Source organism: Homo sapiens, chromosome 20 (genome assembly GCF_000001405.40).
Source record: "Homo sapiens chromosome 20, GRCh38.p14 Primary Assembly".
In the NCBI taxonomy this organism is placed as follows: domain Eukaryota; kingdom Metazoa; phylum Chordata; class Mammalia; order Primates; family Hominidae; genus Homo; species Homo sapiens.
The window spans coordinates 51287212-51310823 of record NC_000020.11 but is presented as its reverse complement, the minus strand read 5'-3'; the positions used below and the strand labels follow the sequence as shown (position 1 = coordinate 51310823).

The 23612-nt window shown below is 46.4% G+C and overlaps 1 annotated feature.

Annotated features, from left to right (window-relative positions):
* Positions 3624-4584: an enhancer, noted in NCBI's record as "NANOG-H3K27ac-H3K4me1 hESC enhancer chr20:49922777-49923737 (GRCh37/hg19 assembly coordinates)". NCBI's record gives its function as "activates a minimal SCP1, AML or CMV promoter by ChIP-STARR-seq in primed H9 embryonic stem cells {active_cell/tissue: H9 hESC(primed)}" and the evidence as "EXISTENCE:reporter gene assay evidence [ECO:0000049][PMID:30033119]".

Genomic DNA, 23612 nt, shown 5'->3' with positions numbered 1-23612 from the left:
TATCCCTGTGCAACAGACACTTTTGCTTTCATGCTTAAAACTTTATATAAGTAAGATACTATGCTTTTCTCATTCTAAAATGATGTTCTGAGGTTTGTCCATTGTCGTGGGTTGCGACTCTCTGGGGTTGGTGTCATATAGGTGGTGAAAAGAATGTACCAAGATAGCTGTAGGTAAAGAAAGGCAGATTTACTCGAGAAAGCGCTGCAAGGAAGCAATGGGCAGGTCAGCAAGAGGGGAGCTGACTGCAAAGGGACAAAGCTTGCTGGAGATTTTATACGCTGGTTCTTGGGCTGGAGAGGGCTACGTGCTGTACTGATAACACCAAGGTTGCAGGGAGCTAACTTGCATTTTTCTATCAGCCAAGAGTCTGGTAATAGCTGGGCACAGGAAGACTGTGAGTTATATTGTGCAAGAGGTCCATGGTCCTGCATTGTGTCCTGGAAAGGCAGACTTACAGCTTATCTGCTTTCTCTTTTTGCTTTCCCTTTGTCCCACCAGCCTGACTCCTCCTCCCTAATGAGAACTCCACATCCATGTACATCAATGAAGCTGTAGTTGTTTTTGCTGCAAATATGTCACAAGGCATTTCTCCACTCTCCCATTGATGGACACTTTAATGGTTCCTAATATTTCTCTGTTACACACAGATGCTGTTATGAGTCTCCTTGAGTATGGCTCCAGCATGCTGGAATGGGAGATTGTCTGGAGTAAAGATACGTAGGGGTGGAACTGGTGTATCATATGATGTGGGTATGTACAGTTTTGCTCTCCACAGGGGTTGTATCAGACTCATAGGAATTTTAAACTGGGGACAGTATCAATGACTACTGTACAAAAGCCACAAACCATAAGCCCATGGAGCTAAAAAAGCTTGAATAATATTTGAATCACCAATGCTAACATTTACAAATAGGAAGAATTCATACAAAATCCATATTTGTAGCTTTTTGTGAAACGCTGGGCAATTCTGGGCCCAGGCAGCTGCAGAGGTGCTTCTTGAGGCAGAAAGAGAGGGGGAGAAACACCCCAGCCTCTCTCCTGCCCTCCGAATTCTGCCTCCCATGGCCAAACCCAGCTGGCTCAGAGGCCTGCAGGGGTCAGCCCTCCTGGGGTTGACCTCATCCCTTTTCTGTGCCACTTAAACATGGCACAGTGTTCTCACCGACTTGATCTCAAGCTTCTTGAGGGCAGGCAGAAGTTCCTGGGCATCAATCTGTCTCCAGAGCCAGGCTGATAGCCTGGTCCTAGCAGGAGCTAGATCGGCTTTATGTTACTGGAAGAAATGCAGACAGTGACCCTTAACCAGTCTCTCTAACTAGTCTCTCACAGATTCCAGGCAGTTCATTAAAATGTTGAATTATAAATGGACAGAGAGTCAATATTTTAAGTCTATGGACCATATGGTCTCTGTCACAACTATTCAGCTCTGGAGTTGTATAGCGTCAGGGGCCATATACAATGAGTGAGTGAATGGGTGTGGCTGTGTTGCAATAAAACTTTATTTGCAAAAACAGGCAGTGGGCCATATTTGGCGGTGGGTTGCAATTTGTGGCCCCCTGCTATGGACCATGATGTAATTGGTACAACCTGGGTTTACATTTGCACAGCTGTTAGCAGTAACCCTGGGAGTCAGGCCACCAAAAGAGTGCTGAACTGCTCTTTGCTAGAAGTAAAGAGGAATTTTGAAGAGGGAACACTGCAAAGAGAGGATGGGAGAGGAGAGGGGATGAGGAGGGGAGGAAAGAAAGATGAGCTGGACAATAGGACAAGGGGCTGGAGCCAGATGGTGAACATAGCCGGGAGGCTTTTGAAGATGAGGGAGATGCAGCTTTCAATTGTAAGATGTCTTTGGTTACTGATCCAAACCTTCAGTAAAGTCTGCTCTGTCCCCACATGCCTTTGTGAGTGGTTTGTGTGTGTGTATGAGAGTTAACAGAACGTTCTGTCTTCCCAAGCACCAGGCAGCTCCCCAGCACTCAGCCCCGCTCAGTGCAGGCAGAATGAACCTCACTGATTGCTACAGCTACCTAGAAAGGTAGCGAAGAATCTGAAGGTCAGAGAGGTTAACCCAAAGTCACACAGCCAAAGAGAGAAACAGAAACCAAATCCAAAGCCCTGATTATTTCCTTGATTGCCCAAACAGCTGGAAACTTGAAATCAGTTTTTCTGTTTCCTGGAATGAGCTTTGGTGTATCCCTTTGAATGTGGGTTGGATTCCTGGGGATTTAGCCTCAAACCAAACTCTGAGGCCAGAGTAAGGTGAATTAAACCTGGGGAGGTGCAAGGGAGGTTATCTTATGCTCCTTCTTCCCTCCCCTGGACCTGGCCCCTGCCTTGGGTACTTCCCCACTACCCTGAGGCACCTGCTTCTGGTGGGGGTTGGGGCGGGGTGGCGAGGGAAGGGGTGACCTGGGCTCTGTCTGCTTCTCTGGGAATTAGAAAGGGGGTGGGGTGTTTTGTCATCTCTGAAGCCAACACCTGGGTTGACATCATCCAGCTACCTGGCACCTTTTATGGCAGAAGGATAATTTGGCCCGGGCCATTTATTCACAGAATCCTCCAGTTTAGACTTTTGACATTATCTATAAACAAACTTAGATGTATCATCATTGAATCTTATGCAAAAAGCATTACTTTGTTAAACATAAACACTTATATTTTACCACAATTCTGACATCCCTTTTTGCCTTAAACTTTTTTAAAAATATGGGATGGCTTTGGCTTTCCTCAGCCTCTGAGAGACTCTCATTAGGTGTCAAACCCAAGAGCTAAACAAAAGCTGATTTATGCAAAATGTAAGCTCGTCACAAGTCAATTAGGGCTCAGACAGGCTTTTGTGACAAGCACTTTCTAATCAATTCCATCCGGCTCTCTCTGAGAGTCTATGAGAGAATAAACACAATAATGACATTAAAATGGGCAGTGGGGCTCTTCACCTTCTTGGGGTTCCCATACCTTTGCCCTCTGACAGCTGCTCTAGGCCTTTACCCAAGGAAATGTACAGACATGAATGCAGCATTTTGTTTCCAATTTCAGGGATGTCTAAACTACATCCACGGACTCCTTAAGTCCCCACATGAAGAAATTTTGGGGCTGGGCATGGTGGCTCACACCTGTAATCCCAGCACTTTGGGAGGCCAAGGCAGGCAGATCACGAGGTCAAGAGATCGAGACCAGCCTGGCCAACATGGTGAAACCCCGTCTCTACTAAAAATGCAAAAATTAGCTGGGCGTGGTGGCGAGTGCTGGTAGTCCCAGCTACTCAGGAGACCGAGGCAGGAGAATTGCTTGGGCCCGGGAGGCGGAGGTTGCAGTGAGCCGAGATCGTGTCACTGCAGTGCAGCCTGGGCAACAGAGCAAGACTCTGTCTCAAAAAAAAAAAAAAAAAAAAAGAAAGAAAGAAAGAAAAAAGAAATTTTGGTGGAGCCTTTTTAAATACACAAATTAAAAACAGTAAAGAAATATAATTCCTGATCGATGCAATTGTCCCCCAGGCGTAGTCTTTAAGCACACATTCTACAGCTCCCAAATTCAGGAGCTGGAAGCACAGCCTTGCTATGAGGTGGACTTAGCTTCAATCTCTGCCCGGATGATATTGGGCAAATGGCCCAATCATTAAAACGGACACATGAATGGGACCAACCTGGCCGAGTTAAGAGGATTGAATTAATATTTGCGAAGTGCACAGAAGGGCGCCTGGTATACCAGAGGTGCCCAATCAAGGTTAGCTCTCACCAGCATCGCTGGTTCTCTTCCCCTTCGAGGCCTGCGCAGGGCTGGGGAGGAGGGATCACCCCTGCCTGCTTGAGACCGGCTGCCACATCGCTGGGAGGACGCCGGGCTGCCCTAGAGTGGCCACAAGAGGGAGCAGTTGCCTTTCCTAACGCCGAGGCCCACCTGCGCCCAGCCTTCCACTCAGGCAGGGGCAGACGACGTGGGCTCCCTAGACCTTGGAGCCTAACCCAGAACCTTCTCTCCCCACCACAGCTGGAGGTGGGGTGGGGTAGGGTGAGACGGGCCCTGCTCGCAGCTGTTCTCTGTGCACTTGGGACAGGGCTCTAATTTATGCCTGAGCACCGTGGCCTGAGGTTTCTTCTCTGCCAGCCTCAAGGGCTGGTCCTCACTTTGTCTTGCCCTTAGCGCCCCAATTCCTTGCAGCAGGTCCACATGCCCCGCTGTGAGATATGTTAGGACTGGCAAGGCCATGTCCCTTGCTGGGTGCTTGATCCCTTGGCCTCCCCACAGCTGGGTGTCCGCACGGCCAGTGGCGTGGATGCGGGAGCTCTCTGGGGTTTCCGGAAAAGGCTGTAATTTCTTGTCTGTTCTGTGGGTGCAGCACATGTGCCTCCAGCCCCATGCTCCTGCTTCAAATGCAGCAGCTGTGGTGGCCATCCTGAGACTGGAAGGTGACAAATATAAACCGAAAACAAAATTCTAAGCCCCCAGCTAACTGAATGGTCCCCTCCTCTTGGCCAAGGGTATCCTAAAGTTAACCTGAAACACGAGTTCAGGCCATGATGGGAATGCGGGTCAAACAGGCCTCATTATACCTCCGCCCTTTGGAATTCAGGCACGGCTGACCAGCATGAACATTAAAACAGAGACCTTAACACTGACAAAGCCGACTCTACCAATAAGATGCCAACGTGACAGATAGCAGGCTCTGAACGAAATTGAAGTATTTTACCCCAAAATATGTTTCTTTGACATATTTTGAAATGGCCTTGCAAAGCTGTCACTTGTGGGTAAAAATCTACATTCTGTAGAGAATCCTCTTCCCTTTCCAGGCCTTTTTTCCTGATCCAGGAGAGAATTAACTAAGTCTGGCACCTTTCTAAGCCTGATAAGACACATTTACAATCTATTCTCTCTACCTGGAGGCTTCATCTGCATAATAATAAGAACCTTGGTCTCCACAACTCCTTAACCCAGACACTCCCTTGTATTGATTCCAGGTCTTTAGATAAACTCTTTCAACCAGTCACCAATCAGGAATTCAGGAACTCTTTGAATTCACCTATGACCTGGAAGCTCCCCTCCCTGCTGTTCCTGCCCCCAACCCCCACCTTTGTGTTATCTCTGCCTTTCCAGAGGGGACATTTTCCTCTAGCACATGTAAGATGTATAATATATGTCAACCTCGGGACCCCAAAATAACTAAGACAAAGGGAAAAGTCAAGCTGGGAACTGCTTAGGGCACACCTGCCTCCCGTTCTATTCTATGGCTACTAGGGTAAAAAAGCTACATACCTCCCTCACAATTTGTCCACGAGGAAATTCCTTGCAGACAAAGGACAGACAGAACTCAAAGTCATCTCTCTGTGCTCACTGAGATAAATGCATATCTGATGGCTTTCTTTGGAAAGGCTAATCAGAAACTCAAAAGAATGCAACTGTTTGTCTCTTATCTACTTATGACCTGGAAGCCCCTCTCTGCTTTGAGTTGTCCCACGTTTCCAGACTGAATCAACGTACATCTTACACACACTGATCGATGTCTCATGTCTCCCTAAAATGTATAAAACTAAATTGCCCCGAGCACCTTGGCCACACGTCAGGACCCCCTGAGGCTATGTCACAGGCACATCCTCAGTCTTGGCAAAATTAACTTTCTAAGTTGATTGAGACCTGTCTCATATATTTGGAGTTCAGACATGTATTGACTGATGTCTTATGTCTCCCTAAAATGTATAAAATGAAGCTGTAACCCGGCACATATTCTCAGGATCTCCTGGTGCTGTGTGACAGGCTATGGTCACTCATATTTGGCTCAGAATAAACCTCCTCAAATATTTTACAGAGTTCGACTCTTTTTGTCAACACAAGCCAAAGGCACAGAAAGACAAGCTGGGGAGCAGAAAGACAGCCTGACCCACCCAGGCCTCCTGTCCCTCCTGGGGATACCCTAACATGCACGGGCTGCTTTGCCCCTCCAAAGGCTGTCTGTGGCTCTCAGGAGAAAATCCAGATGGTGGCCTCAAGGCCTGCCCCTGCCTGGTCTCCCAAATCTCCTGCTTGCTAACTTCCTCCTGCTGCCGCAGCCTTCTCTTCTGCTGCTGCACCATGCAAAGTCCTGCCTCAGAGCACTTGTACTTGCTATTCCCTGCTATTCCCTCTGTCTGGAAAGTCTTCACCCAAATTTTCAAACAGGGTGGCTCCATCATTCACACAGCTCAGCTGTTACCTCCCCAGAGGCGCTTCCCTTGACCTCCTCCTGTTTCATGCCTCCTCTGTTGTGCATTACTGTGTTTCGAACTCTTCACAGCACCTTGTGCTATCTGTGACAGTGGCAGGAGGCAGACAGGGGTGGGTCCCTGGTGAAACACCACCTTCAAGCCAAAACAGCCTGAAGGCTGAAAGACCGGACTGCTGGTTCCAGATGAAACCCATGACTCAGGACAGAAGAGTGAGAATTTCTGTTCCTGTTTGCCCATCCTTTCCTGATTCTTTCTGAATGCTTTTTAACCAATCAAACGTGGCCTTTTTCAATAGTATCTATGGCCCGCCCCTCCCCCATCCTGTGCCTATAAAAACCCCAGACTCAACCACACTGAGAGAGATGACCTGACTTAGGGTGAGAGACTACTTGCCCATCCCCTCTCCACTGAGAGTTGTTTTATCACTCAATAAAATTCTCTGCCCTCATCACCTTTCAATTGTCAGCATGACCTCATTCTTCTTGGATGTGGGACAAGAACTTGGGACCCACCAAATGTGGGTACTCAGAGGGCTGTAACACTGTGGCTCTCAGCCCTCTGCTGGCAGAGGGCAGCCACCCCATGTGACAGGAAGCAGTAATGGGACCAGAGCTTCCCCCGGAGCTGTGGGCTGGAGCGGGGCAAGGGGCTGACCAAGCTGTTAACACACCGCTGTCCGTTGGACTGTGGACGGGAGTACTGAACGAGTTAATTAGCACATTTAAAACCCCTTCTGGGGCTTTGGGGTTGTGGGCACCCCTGGCTGGGTGCCACCACATTCCCCCTTGGGGTGACATGCCTGGTCCAGCCACAAGCCCAGCAGGGAGCCTACCCCTGTGCCAGCTTTTGGAACAGCTGGCTGGACCCCACACTTGCTTGCTCACACACCCCTTCCCACCAGGGGCTAAGCATGCAGTTGTGGTGGCCATGGGATCCACGGAGTGCAAGCCAGACACAGCCTGGTGGGCCAAGTAGATGGAGCACCTCCTGCTGCAAGCCAAGCAAAGGGGCCCGAGAAAAACCCTGTCATCTGCAATTACCTTGTTTATTCCCAGTAAATTTTCAGAGGGCACAGTGTGTGGCCCAGAGTACATAGGTAAGTATGTTTACTAAATGAATGAACATATTTTCTTCTTTGCATAAGGTAACATATTTTCCTCTTTTGAGTAGGTTCTTTGCAACCATGAAACTCCTGAGCAAGGTAATGGGACAGAGAAATTAACTAAAGCCAAGCCCCACAATGAACCGATTCTGCTATGGCTGCTGCAGGGTGAGCTCTCGTCTCTCCTTCCCAGCTGTTCCCCTCTTGGCAACAGCACACCGTCCCCCCTTGCCCCAGAAGTCACCCATTCACCTTACGTTTGGACATCATTCCTGGCATTAAGACTTCTCTCCTGGGGAGGGGTCTTCTACCGAGGTAAGCGGTTGGCATCAGCATCCCTCACCTATCGACAAAATGGATGCGGGTGATGGCCACCCACTGTGTGCTCTCAGATGAACCTGAATCGCCCCCCAGATGGCTTCTGGGAGAGGGTATTAACTGCAAACGTTTGCAGAGCCATGTGCTGAAATGTGGCAAAGTGTGTGCTTTTAAAGGAGAAGGCTCGCAGAGGAAATGTGGATCGTTGCCCCATCCTGCAGTTTTGTGAATTTGGAACGTGTTCACTAGGGTCTCTGGAAGTTCACGGTAGCCAGCATGTCCACAAATAAGGCCAAGCAGCCAGTTACAATGTCCCCACCCTGCACTGTGGCTGAGAGGCCAAGCCCTGCAGCCGCACAGACCTGGGTGTGAGAACAGCTACGCTGACCGTGTATGAGCTGCATGACACTGGGCCGCTCAAACGCTCTGTGTTTCACTTTCCTCATCTGTAAGTGCACATTACAACTGGAACGACCTGATGCACTCCTACAGAAGAAATTAAAATTACGTATGGAATGCAGGCACATCTTGAATGCAATAAATGTTCACTTTTATTGAGGTCAGGAGGAGCATTGACCACCAGAGGAGGAACCCAAGTGGCTGTGTGGAAATGCTCCCAGCTGTCACACCCAGGAACCTGAGCTCTGATGGATACCACCTTTGCCCTCCTCTTCCAAGCCCCACAGTCCACTGGGTTGCTCTTCGTGCTCACAGACTCTGCACATGCATGCTGTCACCAAGTGTTTTTTTATTTTATTTTATTTATTTTTTGTTTTTTTATTTTATTTTATTATTATTATACTTTAAGTTTTAGGGTACATGTGCACAATGTGCAGGTTTGCTACATACGTATACATGTGCCATGTTGGTGTGCCGCACCCATTAACTCGTCATTTAGTATTAGGTATGTCTCCTAATGCTATCCCTCCCCGCTCCCCCCACCCCACAACAGTCCCTGGTGTGGGATGTTCCCCTTCCTGTGTCCATGTGTTCTCATTGTTCAATTCCCACCTATGAGTGAGAACATGCAGTGTTTGGTTTTTTGTCCTTGCGATAGTTTGCTGAGAATGATGGTTTCCAGTTTCATCCATGTCCCTACAAACCAAGTGTTTACTTGGTGTTTACTGAGCACCCTCTGGGGGCTAGACACTAGGCCTCAGTAGGTGGGTGGCTTAGTAAACACTAGTGCATGTGTTTACTGAACACCTCTGGGGACTCGACACTATGTCAAGTGCAGCAGAGTCTAGGAGTTAATAGCAGAGTCTGGAGAAATCCAGCCTAGATTTGAATGCTAGCTCATAACTCACTAGCTATGGTACCTTAGGAAGATACTGAGCCTCTCTGTGTCTCTGTTCCCTCTTTTTTCAAATGGGGATAGTACTTACCTCTTGGGGTGGTTTTGAGGATTAAATGAATTGCTCTATATACAGGAGATGGGCCAGTGCTCAGGACATGGTGAATCCCATCCAATTATTAGTAATTAACATCTACTTTAAAAGTATGCTTGACCTTCTTGAGGACTACATGTTAAGGCATTGAGGATAACTTAATTCCTTCAGAATTGAAACAGCACTAGTTAATATGGATTGAGCCCTTTTTCTATGCCCACGTGCTTTATATCAGGGTTAATACACTTTTTCTTAAAGGGCCAGGTAGTAAAGAATCAAGGCTTTCCAGGCCAGAGGCAAAAATGAGGCTATTATGTAGGTACTTATATAACCATTTAAAATGTAACCATTTCAAAATGAGAAGGAAGAAAACATTCTTAGCTCATGGGCTTTAAGAAAAACTAGTAGCTGGATAGATTTGGTCTGCAAGCTGGAGTCTACCTATCTCTGCTTTATATCATTCAATCCTTACAAAAACACAAGTAGCATTATTATCTCCACTTTAAGACCCGGAAGCTTTGTCTCAGAGAGGTTGAGTGACTTATATTGTCGTCAGTCTCTCCCTTCTGTTCCGTTAATATCTGCTTTATATATTTAGGTGCCTTGATGTTGGTTCTGGCAGATGTCCACTCCTTAATGGATTTTTCTTGGATGCCTGAATGATAGAATTGGGACATGAGGCATCTAGGTGTCTGACTTCCTAAACAGCATTTCGATGAGAAAGAAGAGTTCCATGATTTGGGGGCTTGATACATAGAGATATAGAGTAGGATATAGAGTAGGAGTTCTCTTGAGAATAAGGGGGAGCTCTTCAGACTACAAGACAAGCAAGGCTCCTCCATGGCCCCTGCTGAGCTCCCTGTGAGGCCAAGATAATAATTCAATGACCATAATGAATGAGCTAACTGTTGAGTGCTTTAAAATAGCTCGAAAACACAGCCGTTTCACATAGCCACTTCCTGCTTTATATCCCCTATTCCATTAGCTTGTGTTCCAGAAGAGGCCTGTGACAGAGCAGGAGCATTACCATCTTGGACAAGTCCCTCATTCTAAAGATCACCTTAATAAAAAAAATCGCCTAAATCCAAAGGGCATCAGCCTGATGGCTAAGGTCAGCATGACCGTAAACCACAAATAACATCTCCAACCAGAAACATTCCAAACTCTTCCCCGACCAGAGACATGCTAGCCCCAAGATAAGCCCCCTCCAACTGGGAAGATCCCAGCCTTGAGATATCCCCCTCTGGCTGGAAAGATATCTGCCCCAAGATAACCTCTCCTCCTCCCAGAGACATTCCAACCCCACCATAAAACTTCTCTCACACAAAAACATTCCAAGCTTGTAATAAGCCCCTCACCCTAAAACCAATATATACTCTTAGCCTGTAAGAGAAAGTGCTCCTGACTGAAATCGGCCAGAAGCCCCTCTCAGGTTTTATCTAAAGTAAACCTGTCTTTAACTGCCAAGCTATGTTTCATGTTTCTTTCCTCTTTAACTCTTACAGCCTGTAGCATCACTTCTGTCCTAGAGGGATCTTCTCATCTTAATTGGCTGGCAAGCCACACACAACTGACCTCACAAGGGGCCCGGAGAGCCACACAGAATAAGCACTTGTGTGATGCCCATTGGCTCACCTGACACACACAGCCTTAAGGCCTTTGCACTTGTGGTTTGCTTTATGTAGAGTAGAAGTCAGCAGACTTTTCCTACAAAGGACCAGAGAGCATATACTTTAGGCTTTGTTGGCCTTATGGTCTGTTGAAACTACTTAATTCTGCTCTCGTAATAGGAAAGCAGCCATAGATAAGATAATGCATAATGGCAGGGTGTGGTGGTTCACGCCTGTAATCCAAGCACTTTGGGAGGCCAAGATGGGCAGATCACCTGAGGTCAGGAGTTTGAGACCAACCTGGACAACATGGTGAAACCCCATCTCTACTAAAAATACAAAAATTAGCCAGGTGTGGTGGCTGGCGCCTGTAATCCCAGCTACTCTGGAGGCTGAGGCAGGAGAATCACTTGTACCTGGGAGGCAGAGGTTGCAGTGAGAAGAGATTGCGCCACTGCACTTCAGCCTAGGCAGTAAAGCAAGACTCTGTCACCCCTCAAAAAAAAAAAAAAAAAAAAAAAAAAGATAATGATGCATAATGAAAGTGCATGACTGTGGTTGTGTTCCAATAAAACTTTATTTATAAAAACAGGTGGTAGGGCAGATTTGGCCTGTGGCCCTTAGTTTGTCAACTCATGACCTAGAATATTCTCCCCCCAGGAAGCTGAAAGGCTCCCTCTTTCACTGCTTCCAGCCATCTGTGTAGCTACCACCCTATCTCAACAGCCACACCCCTGCCACCCTGTTCCTCAACCTTCCTTTACTTCCCCACAAAGTCCTTACTATTATGTGAAATTACATTATATATTAATTTATCGGTTTATCATCTGGTACCCTCCTTTGGGAATGTAAAATCAATGAGAGGTACCCAGAGCTTGTAGAAACGTTTGGTATATAGTAGACACACAATAAATATTTGTGGAATGAATAAATCTCAAAGAACAATAACCATAAATACAAATAATAGCAAATACTTTCTGCACATGTATTAATATATTCCTGGCACTCTGATACACATATGCAAAATACTGAATTCTTTCAATAGCCCTATAATGCAGGATCTTTTATTAAGCCCGTTTTACAGAAGAAGCTGGGGCTTGGAGAGGTAAATTACTTGCCCAAATGGTGATGTTTGCCATCACAGGAAAACATCACAGAACATTAGAGCTGGCTAGGACCTTCAAGATCAATCTTATTCCAACCCTGGCATTATACAAATGCAGAAACTGCAATTTGGCAAGAGGAAGCCACATGCCAAAGGTCACATAGCAAGAAAGGGACAAGGTAGAATAAAGACCAGTGTCCTTGCCTTCCTGGCTGTAGGATGCACAACCTCCAGCGCACTCTGAGTAGTGTCAGTTCCCTGCGTGATCTGTCACTGGGGGGACTGTGACCTGCTTGTGGCCTGTGAGCAGTGGAACCAGAGCTTTCTCTCTCGTCCCATCGGTTACTTCAGGGACGAACTGCATGCCAGGCTTCCTCCCTGACTCATCCAATGCAGGTGAAGCCAGGTTATCTCAGCACCTGCATCCCCCAAGAGGCTGCAGATGCAAAGCCTCTATAAAGAAGGCAATAAAGACTGCCAGGCAGCCATCCTAGGAATACTAACCAAGATCTCTCTCCGCCCTGGTGCTGGGCGCTATCCCCACACATAACAGTTTGCTCTAGGGGAGGGAGAGGCTGTCTGTGTTTTATAAGTGCTCTTAGTCACGTGTTTTTTTGTTTTTTTTTTTTTTTATGGAAAAAAAATCACTAGAACCAGTTTCCTCTTTCCTAAATTAATCCCAGTGTTTCTGTTTTCAAAGAGCATTTAAGGACCAAAGGCCAGAGCCCTCAAAACCGGCACACACCTCCAGCTTGTGCGGGGCTGGGCATAGTTCCAGAGGGCCTGGCTGTGCCCACGACAGAGGTTTCCTGTCCAGACAGAAGGGGACATATTAGTCGGCTAGGGATGTCACAACAAAGTACCACAGAATATGTGGCTTAAACAAAAAGAACTTATTATCTTACAGTTCTAGAAGCTAGAAGTTCAAGAGCAAGGAGTCGGCAGGGCTGCTTTTTTCTTTTTTAATTGTTATTTATTTATTTATTTATTTATTTGAGATGGAGTCTCTCTCTGTCACCCAGGCTGGAGGACAGTGATGCAATCTCTGCTCACTGCAACCTCCGCCTCCCGGTTCAAGCAATTCTCCTGCCACAGCCTCCCAAGTAGGCGGGATTACAAGTGTGCGCCACCGTGCCTGGCTAATTTATTTATTATTATTTTTTTTTTCAGTAGAGATGGGGTTTTACCATGTTGGCCAGGCTGGTCTTGAACTCCTGACCTCAGGTGATCCACCCCCCGCGCCCCCCGGCCTCCCAAAGTGCTGAGATTACAGGTGTGAGCCACCGCACCCTCCCAGGGTTGCTTTTCTGAGGCCTCTCTTCTTGGCTTGCAGGTGGCCACCTTCTGCCTGTCCTCACATGGTCTTGCCTCTGTGCATATCTGAGTCCTAATCTCTTCTGCTAAGCAGACCAATCATTGGATTTGGGTCTACCCCAATGACCTCATTTAACCTTAATTACCTCTTTAAAAGCCATATCTCCAAATACAGTCACCTTCTAAGGTACTGGGACTTAGGACTTCAACATATAAATTTGGGGGCAAGGAAATAATTCAGCCCCTAACAGTGGGCTTATTTGCAAATGCTCCTTGGCTTGGTGATGTTCAGCCCCTAGCAAACCCCCACCTAGCCACAGAATGCCTGACATTGGGGCCAGGGCAGTTCTTTTTTGGGCAACGCTGTCCAACACACTGTGGGGCATTTAGCATCCAGGCACCCCCTACCCCAACAACATCACCAGGGCTCTGGAGTCAGGACCCAAATCCAGCGCTACCCATTACTAGCTGTGTGTGTGGCCTTGGGCCAGGCATGCCCTCCCTGCCCTCAGCTTAGTGTGCAATGTAGGGTTGTCACAGTGACTGTTTATTACATAATAAAGTGTTTTCCAAAGGGTAGCTTGTGTGCTCCCGAAAGGAGATGATTTCGGGGAGAACAACAACCAATGCCTTCTATTTCATTTGTGTGTATAATAATGTATTAGAAAATATAAAAGGAGATGATTTCGGGGAGAACAACAACGAATGCCTTCTATTTCATTTGTGTGTATAATAATGTATTAGAAAATATAATTAGCCCAAGTGAAGGATTTCTCTATAAGTGTTTCTTCTAAAAGTAAATTGATTTAAAACGCATAATTAGCAAACAGAAGGCATGATGGCAAACACAATGAAAGCGGCACAAGAATGACCGGCATGGAGAAACAGGAAATTGACACGGGGTGCCATCTGCACAGCCCTGGGCTCGTTGGCCATGCTTGGCACAGAGAGGCCACACGGGTCACAGTCCCTGCAGGAAGTCAAGAGTACCCTCAACCTGAGTGATCTGAAGAGCATTTCATAAGAGAGGTCTCTGACATGATTGTTGTAGAATGAACCGACTGTGCCTCGCCCATCCCTGCTCCTCCTGAGGTGTCAGGCCCCTATGACCCGCCCCTGCAGAGTCCCCAGCTTCCTCCCTCACCACTTTCCAACCCAGAACCTATGCCTCAGCCATGTGAGCCTTTTTCATTCCTCCCATAAGCTGTGCCTTCTCTTGTCTCCCTGCCTTTGCATGTGGAATCCTAATTCACGTGGCTGATGTCAGGATCCCCCAGTTCTTAGACATGTCTGAGAATCCAGCTGCTCATCTGTTCGCTGGGGGACAGGGCCAGCTGCAGATGCACCACCTCCTTCAGGAAGGGCTCCGGCCCCCCAAATACATCACAGATGTGTACTGAGAGCTCGCCGTGTGTCGCACTCTGCATGAATGGATATATGCTCATTGCCTTATTTAATCTTCAGGATTACCCATTTTACAGATTTATTTGATCTTCATGCCCCCATTTTACAGACGAGGAAGCTGAGGCTGGGAGAAGTGAGATGCCCCTTAGAAACCCAGCAGATGGCCACCCGCACACAGGGCCGCTGACTCAAAACCACCTCGCACAAGACAGTTCCCCATACCCCTCCACCTCCCTTCTCCAGGACGAGGGCCCGGCAACTCGACCAGAATCTTTTCTCCCAAAGACTCAGGGGAGGGACCAGTTTGAGGATGCTCAACATAAACCCAACTGCAGCCCATCAGTCCTCAAGCTCATGAAATCCACTTCAGCAGCACATGGAGGGATAGCTGCAATGTCTCTTGTGGGCACCAACACCCGAGCCTGTTACCTTTTGGGAAATCATCTGGGCACTGCGGCCACCCAGGGAGCTATGAACAGGCTTCAGTGCTCTTCTTTCAGGAAGGTTTCTGCCAGTAGCAGGCAAAGGCCAGGCAACTCTGGTGGGGCAGTTTATGTGTGTGTGTGCGTGCGTGCGTGCGTGTGCGTGTGCGTGTGTGTGTCAAGGTCTAGCTTTGTCACCCAGGCGGGAGTGCAGTGGCGTGATCTCAGCTCACTGCAACCTCCCACCTCAGCCTTCCGAGTAGCTGGGATTAAAGGTGCATACCAGCATGCCCAGCTAATTTTTGTATTTTTCATAGAGATAGGGTCTCACTGTGTTGCCCAGCCTGATCTTGAACTCCTGGGCTCAAGCACTCCTCCCACTTTGACATCCCAAAGTTTAGGATTACAGGCGTCAGCCACTGCACCTGGCAATATTTTTTAAAGTAGTGATTTGTCTCACTTTTGGACAGCTGAGTTTTTTTTCTAGATTCAGGGCCTCCAAGAATAAACCACAGAGTAGAAAACAGGAAAAATGGGAAAGGAATCAATCTATGGCTTTTTTTTTAAGCAATTATCTATTTTACTTTGTTTTTATTGTGGTAAAACACATATAACATAAAATCTACCATTAGCGACATTTACGGCATTCACAGTGTTGTGCAGCCTTTATCACTATCTAGTTCCAAAACATTTTTATCTCCCCCAAAGGATGATACCACTAAATGTAACTCCTCATTCCCCCTCACCCCAGCCTCTGGCCACCACTAATCTACTTTCTGTCTCTCTAGATTTGCCTATTGTGGACATTGTATATAAACGGAACCATAGACTCAGTGTCCTTTGGGACTGATTTCTTTCACTTAACATAGTGACTTCAAGTTCATTCACGTTGTAGCGTGTATCAGTATTTCATTCCTTCTTGTGGATGAATAATATTCTGTTTTATGGAGAAACCGGACTTTGCAATCCATTCATCAGTTGAAGGATGATAGGCTATTCCTATCTTTTGCCTCTTATAAGGAATGCTGCTATGAATTATCACATACAAGATTCTGCTTGAACACTTGCTTTCAATTCTTTTGGGTATATACCCAGGAGGAGAATTTCTGGGTCTTATGATATCTCTGTGTTTAACGTATTAAAGACTCAATCACTGCCTTTTGAGTTTCAAATAGCCATCATTTTTGGAAAAAGGAAGGCCTTTCAGTTATAGTCACTGCATTTGGGAGCACGCTGATAAGTGAGGAAGGATGGGTCCCCTGCAGCCTAGGAGAGAAAGGATTCCTTGGGCCAGGGTTGGAAGAAAGAGGAAGGGAGAGATGAGTTGAGTGAGGCAGGTGAGTGGGGCCCCAAGCCCAGGGCTGGAGCAGGAGGAACCAGCCAGGCTCCTGCTCCACCTGCAAATCAGAGAAAAATTTCCATCAGCTCAGAAGAAAAATGAAACAAGTCTACAAATGGGCAATTAGAGAAGAAACTCACATAGCTAAAAATATGTAAAAAGTCAAGGCACACTCATCATTCAAAAATGCAAATTCTGACATTGAGTTACCAGTCTCCAAGAAAATCTAACAAATTGGCTAAAACGTCAAAGATGGAGCATATTCCATGTTTGTTTTGGAACTGTGAAATGACAACCCAGATACTCCACTGGTGGAAGTACAAAATGGTACAGCCATTTTTGAGAGTGATTTGACAGAATCCATTTAAATGAAGACAACTTTATCCCCCAAATTTCACTATTAGGAAATCTATAGAAATAAAGGCCCAAGTAAGTGAAGATTTATGTTCAAGGATGTTCATGTAACATCATGTGCAATATGTGTTACACGCACACACACATTTACACACAGAAACAACCTAACATCCATCAATAGGGGGTTGGGTTAAATAAGTTATGATACCTAAAGGAATCAGAAAAGTATAAAGTCATGAAATGAACAATGTCACTCTCTTTGCAAGACTCAAGTGAGAGATGCAAGTTTTAGGAGAATTTAGGATAATGTGATGACATAATTTGTGTGTGTGTGTGTTTTGTAAACTCTGTGTGACATGTTTATAAATAGCTGTTGTTTAGGCCTATGCTATCCAGGCTCCATGTCCTTGATCCTAAGCGGCAGAGGTGGTGATGTCCCTGCACAGAACAGGCACACACCACCCACTTGGACAGACAGATATTTGGGTCTACTGGTCTCCTCCAGCACTTGCTGCTGATTGGAGGTGGGGTGGGTGGGTGGGTGGAGGGGAATTGTGCTCCGTCGATGATGCTCTTCAAACAATATTCTAACAATATTCTGTTGTTTCTTTGCCACAGATCCACAAAACAGAATCCAAGCTTACTGAGTCCATGAGGGAGATGGGGATTTCGGAGCTGCTTCCCCTTCGGGGGCTCCATGGGCTGGCACAGGACTTGGCTTCTAGAGTCTTTGGAGCCCTCAGGGCTACACCCTGGACCCTCTTCCTGGTGTCACTTTTCCTCCTCAGTGGTTTGAATGCTTTCCCTCTGCCCTTCCCCTGGGTTTCAACCCCCCTTTTTCTGGCTCGCATTGTGGGTTGCTGTTGGATCTCTGCTTTCTGTTCTAGCCTAGCCTAGGGGATGGAATGGGGGAGCCTTGAATTTTGAAGGTGGAGAAGAGAAAAGAAGGAAAAGCCCATGATGATCAGGATTGAGGATGGAGGAATCTAAGAAGAGCTGATATCTCACTGCTAAGGCTTGGCTCTGTGGCCCCACCCAAATCTCATCTAGAAATGTCATCCCCATAATCCCCACATGTTGAGAGCAGGACCTGGTAGGAGGTGACTGGATCATGGGGGCAGTTTCCTCCATCTTGTTCTCATGGTAGTGAGTGAGTCCCCATGAGATCTGATGGTTTTATAAGTGTCTGTCATTTCCCTTGCTTGCACTTCTCCCTCCTGCCGCCATGTGAAGAAGGTCCTTGCTTCCCCTTCACCTTCCGCCATGATTGTGTTTCCTGAGGCCTCCCCAGCCTTGTGGAACTTTGTGTCACTTAAACCTCTTTCCTTTATAAATTACCCAGTCTCTGGCAGTTCTTTACAGCAGTGTGAGAATGGACTAATATACTTACAGAGGGTGACAGGTTGATCAGTTGTGAGCAAGGGAGATAGCACCTTACTATGCCAACAGAAGTCTTTCCTCCATCTCCTTCCAGCTTTGAGCTCTATTACTTTTGTCCTGGGAAACTCCAGACCCCAGGGAAAAGGAAAGGCTAATGGAAAGGAGGAAAAGATGAATCCCACAGCATAGGCTGATGTTAGGAAGGAATATGCTGTGCAGTGGATACCTCGAGGGGGGACCAGATTTGAGCAGGAGGGCAATGGGTTGAGGTAGTGGGTGATGAGGATGTCTCTGCAATGTCTCATCACTCCAGTTTTGGAGACTTCATGTTCTAAACCAAGATCCTGATTTGGTCCTTGTAACTTCTGTTTCCTATTGATGGGTTTTGTTTTAGGGGACAGGGTCTCACTCTGTTGCCCAGGCTGGAGTGCAGTGGCTTGATCAAAGCTCACTGCAGCCTCGGCCTCCTGGGCTCAAACAGTCTTCCTGACTCAGCCTCCCCAGTAGCTGAGACTACAGGCAGGTACTGGCTATTTTATAGAAAACTCATCTGTAGAGACAGGGGTCTCCCTGTGTTGCCCAGGATGGTCTTGAACTCCTGGGCTCAAGTGATCCTCCTGCTTTGGCCTCCCAAAGTACTGGGATTACAGGTGTGAGCCACTGCATGCAGCCTGTTTTTGGTTTATAATTGCTAAAGGTGTCAAAGAAAAGAGTGTAATGAAATGAATCCTGCTGGGGCCAGAAGGTAGTTGCGATTCTGAGCTTGAGGCCTGGTTATCAGACTCCCCAACATGAGAGGGAACCGAGTCATCCACAGGACCTTTCACCAGTGTAGACCAAGGGCTGGCAAACTTTTCCTGCAAAGGGCCAGACAGTGAATATTTCAGGCTCTGTGAGCCAAGAGGCAAAATTGAAAATATTATACAAGTAGTTACAAGATAAAAACCAAATTTCCACACATTTTTTTATTGATGAAATTCAAAATATAATAGTAATAACTAAGTGTGGTCTTTGAAAAAGTAATATAGGTTTACTAATTAGAGGAATGGAATTTAGGGGGAGGATAATACTTGCTTAATTGGGGGTCAGAGTTAGTGTTCTCTATCACTGAAATCAATCGCAATTGTCTGATTATTTTTTTTCAACCACATAAAAATGTGAAAACCATTCTTAGCTTTCGGAGAGTACAAAAGCAAATGGGAGGCTGGATTTGGCACTTGGGGTGTAGTCTGCAGAGCCCTGGAGTAGAGCCCCCTGGGGCCCTCATGGACATCCAAGGAAACCTGTACACTTTTCTGACCACCCAGGTGGACCTTCTGGAAGGTTCCCAACACTGTAGAAGTGTATGGAGGAAAGCAACTACTCCAAGGACTTTCTGTTGGCAGAAAATGAAATTCAAAGTGAATAGAGTTCGTGGCTGTGGTTTGAAGAAAGTGCCCCAAATTGGAGGCCTGCTGCCTTTGAAAGGGGGACTGTTATCCGGTCTGTAAAGTGCAGGCCATCCTCACCTGCTCGGTGTCTCTGGGTGAGTCCCTGAACCTCTCTGGGTTCTTGGTTTCTTCACCCGAAAAAGTGAGAGTAATCAATGTCTGATGCCACAAGTTCCCACGTGCTGAGAAGATAATTGATCATGGGTATCCTATTTTTTAAAATACCAAATGTTATAAACCAAGCTTGTCCAACCCACAGCCTGCAGGCCACATGTGGTTGATGATGGCTTTGAATGTGGCCCGACACAAATTCGTAAACTTTCTTAAAACATTATGGCCGGGCGCGGTGGCTCATGTCTATAATCCCAGCACTTTGGGAGGCCAAGGCGGGCGAATCATGAGGTCAGGAGTTTGGGACCAGCCTGGCCAATATGGTGAAACCCCATCTCTACTAAAGATACAAAAATTAGCTGGGCGTGGTGGTACATGCCTGTAATCCCAGCTACTTGGGAGGCTGAGGCAAGAGAATCACTTGAACCAGGGAATTGGAGGTTGCAGTGAGCTGAGATCACACCACTGCACTCCAGCCTGGTGACAGAGCGAGACTCCATCTCAAAAAACAAACAGAAACAACAACAACAAAAAATGGAATTTTTTTCTGATTTTTTTTCTTTTTTAGCTCATCATGTATCATTAGTGTTGGTGTATTTTATGTGTGGTCCAAGAAAATTCTTCTTCTTCCAGTGTGGCCCAGGGAAGCCAAAAGATTGGACAACCATGTTACAAACACTCTTTTGTCATTAAAATTGTTTTATGATGGTTAAACCCAAAAATCCTCAGTGGTCAATGAGAGAAATAAATGTTTATTTACATGCTCATTCAGGATGAATATGATTAGACCAAAAAAAAAAAAGTGACATTTCAAGAAATATCTAATGACTTGGAAAAGTGCTCACAGAAATTTATGCAGCTAAAACAAGATAGAAATTTACTTCCCAATTTTGTTTCTATGTATGTGTGCCTGTGTGTGCATGTGTCAAACTGAGAGAAAACATTGAAAAGTAGCTCCGGCTGCCTTGGGGTGGTGTTATTTGTGATTGTTATTTTCTTTATAAAAGTGCATGGCCTGCATTTACTATAATATTCATGTATTACTTTTATTATCTACAAAAAAAAGATAGCTATAATTCTAAGAGAGAGAGAACAGGTCAAGGTGCTTGGTCTATGAAGAGCTGAGTGAGGAACTAAAATAGTGATTCAAAAGAGAGAACAGGGTCCCTGGGCAAGGGCTGCGGTGAACAGTGCAACTATGAGGCTATGGGGAAGGAACACGGGGCTGTGCAAAGGCAGGCAGCTGCTCCTGTCACTGCTGCCTTGAACCTGGAGGGCTAATGATGCACCCCGGTGTGGGCATTGATGATGATGAGCCTCCATCTCCTCTCACCTGGGACTTCCATCCCACCCAGTCCTGCTGTGAGGTCCAGTGGGGTGGGAAAAGAGAGCAACAGACCTGAGTTCTAGGTGAGGCTTGGTCCCTTACCTCTCTGGGAGGACCTTAAGCTGGACGCTTCCCCTCTATGTCTGCCTTCCCCCCACATAAAGTGGGGGGCTGTATGAGGGAACATTGCCCTGAGCCCAGGGTGTGCCTGGAAAGAAAGGATGGTGTGTCTCACAGATAGGCATTGGAGTACACTTGATTCTGTTATGCATGGTAGTTACGTCCTATAAAGTCATTGTGAACACTGAATTAGCAAATATTGAACAACAGCTCCTAGGGGAAATACAGGGTTAGGTTCCTGAGAGCCTCTGGTCACATTTTCACCAACCAATCAACATGTAGCCTTATTTGATGAGTATTTCTGATCGAAGATGCCTTATTCAACATATATTATTGATTCCTTAACACTGAGCTCCCAACGAATGGCTCTACAACTCAGGCCTGAAGGAAGCTCATCTGAGACATGCAGATTCTCTGTACTAATTCCGACAAATGTATCTAACACCCATGTACTTATCTAACACATGCATTTTCTCTGACACTAAATAGACCATGAAAAGGACACTTGCTTATATTATGAGGCTGAAACAAGAAGGCAAAGCATCACCATGTTCCACCAGTTAGATACGTGCAAGTCAGGTGACTCAAAGTTTTCACTGCTCTGTGCATGTCTGCAAACAATCTGGAAAGTGTTGTGAGTACTAATTTAGGGCTTACAAATAAATTTTAAGTGAGTAAATAAATCCCCAAATTCTCAAATAATGAGACTCGACTGTACCTTGAATCACAGTGACAAAGGGATGCTCTTCAGCCTCTTTACATCTTCCTGATTATGTTAAGAGATGTGTTCATTGGTGCAAATAGGTTTTTAACACCCCTGCAACACTCCACACAACCTGGTTAACACAGAGCAAGGGGATTCAGGCTCAAGGCCTTGGCAGACATCGGGTCCACCCTCAAGTAGAAGCAAGGTTGCATTTTCACTGTGTATTGTTAGATTTATGGCAAGTCATGGATGTAATATAAATGAGGGCTAGAAACGTACTTAGATATTTTAAGTGAGTTAAAGAAAAATATCAAATAAATAAGTAATGGAACAAGGAGGACAATATAGCCAACAGTGGAACATTAAATTCTGAGAACCACTGACCTATATGAAAAATCGGGTCCTCCTGACTCAACTGCACTGAGAGACAATGTCCACGGTCATGGAAGTGACCTCCTGGCTGACTTTCCTTTCCCCATCTTGAAAACTGAAGTTCAGTTCCAGAAAGCAGCAGAAGGCAGGAGGCACCCCAAAGCCCTCCCCCCGCCCCCATCAACCCTGTCTGCCTCATCATCCCCAAGTTCAGCCAGCCCACCTACCAGCTACAGGAAGCCAGGGAGGGGCCATAGAGGCCCTTCAAGGGCTGAAACCGGGTCAGTGCTAGGACCACGGGCAGGGGATGACCCAGGCCACTGTGCAAAACAATCACCAGGGAGATGGTGAAATGCAGATTCTGGATCCATTCCCAAGAGTCTGACTCTAGGGTCAGTGAGAGGGCCCAGGAGTCTGAATTTTAACAAGTACCACCTTCCCCTATCTAAGCAATTCTGTGCTAGGTGGCCCAAGGCTCCTTCTCAGGGAAACACTAGATGGAGGGAAAGCGAGATGAGATGAGACAGGACAGGAAATGTCAGAGTCCTGCATAATTAACAGCAGCAGCTGTGATCATAGGCCACCACTGGGCACTGACTGCCTTCCTGGTACTGCCTGTCTTAGGGAATGTCCACTCCAGCAGCCCCGAGCCAGGATCTGTCACCCACACACATCAGCATGCAAAGATGAAGGGACTGGCCCGAAGTCACCAGCCAGCAAGTGGTGCAGCTGGCATGACAGCAAGACGGCCTCACTCCAGAGCCCACTCTCTTTACATCTAAAGCTTATTCTTAAGTGGTTTCTGGTGACAAGTGATTCACAGAGCCATTCTCAAAGCTTAACACTTTGGCAACACATAGCAAAAAAACCTCACAAAATCAAGGTATTGAGAAGCTACTATATCTCAAGCACTTTAGGCACAACATCTGGTCATTCTCACCGTAGCCCTGCAGGGCAGGGATGATCATACCCATTCATCACAGGAGGAGACTACAGAGGAAGCACAGAGGTTAAGCAGCCTGCCTAAGATGCAAACTATTAAGTACAAAATCCTATCAGGGTCAAACCACATTTGACCTGATCATATCTCAGGGTTCTTACTCCAGTTTCACTCATGCTCATTGCTACCACAGTTTTCCTGAATCTCACAAGCCTTCACCTTGTGTCTGTCAGCTTTTGCTATGTAAGAGACCATCCCAGAACTCAGTGGCATACAATAAGCATTTATACTCATTGATATGGTTTGGCTGTGTCCCCACCCAAATCTTACCTTGAATTGTACTAATCCCCATGTGCCAAGGGCAGGGCCAGGTGGAGATCATTGAATCGTGGGGGCAGTTTCCTCCATACCGTTCTCATGGTAGTGAATAAGTCTCACGAGATCTGATGGTCTTATAAATGGGAGTTCCCCTGCACAAACTCTCTCTTGCCTGCTGCCATGTAAGATGTGTCTTGCTTCCCCTTCACTTTCCGCCATGATTATGAGGTCTCCTCAACCATGTGGAACTGTGAGTCAATTAAACCTCCTTTCTTTATAAATTACTCAGTCCCAGGTATGTCTTCATTAGCAGCGTGAGAACAAACTAATACACTCATCCTCAAACTAATAC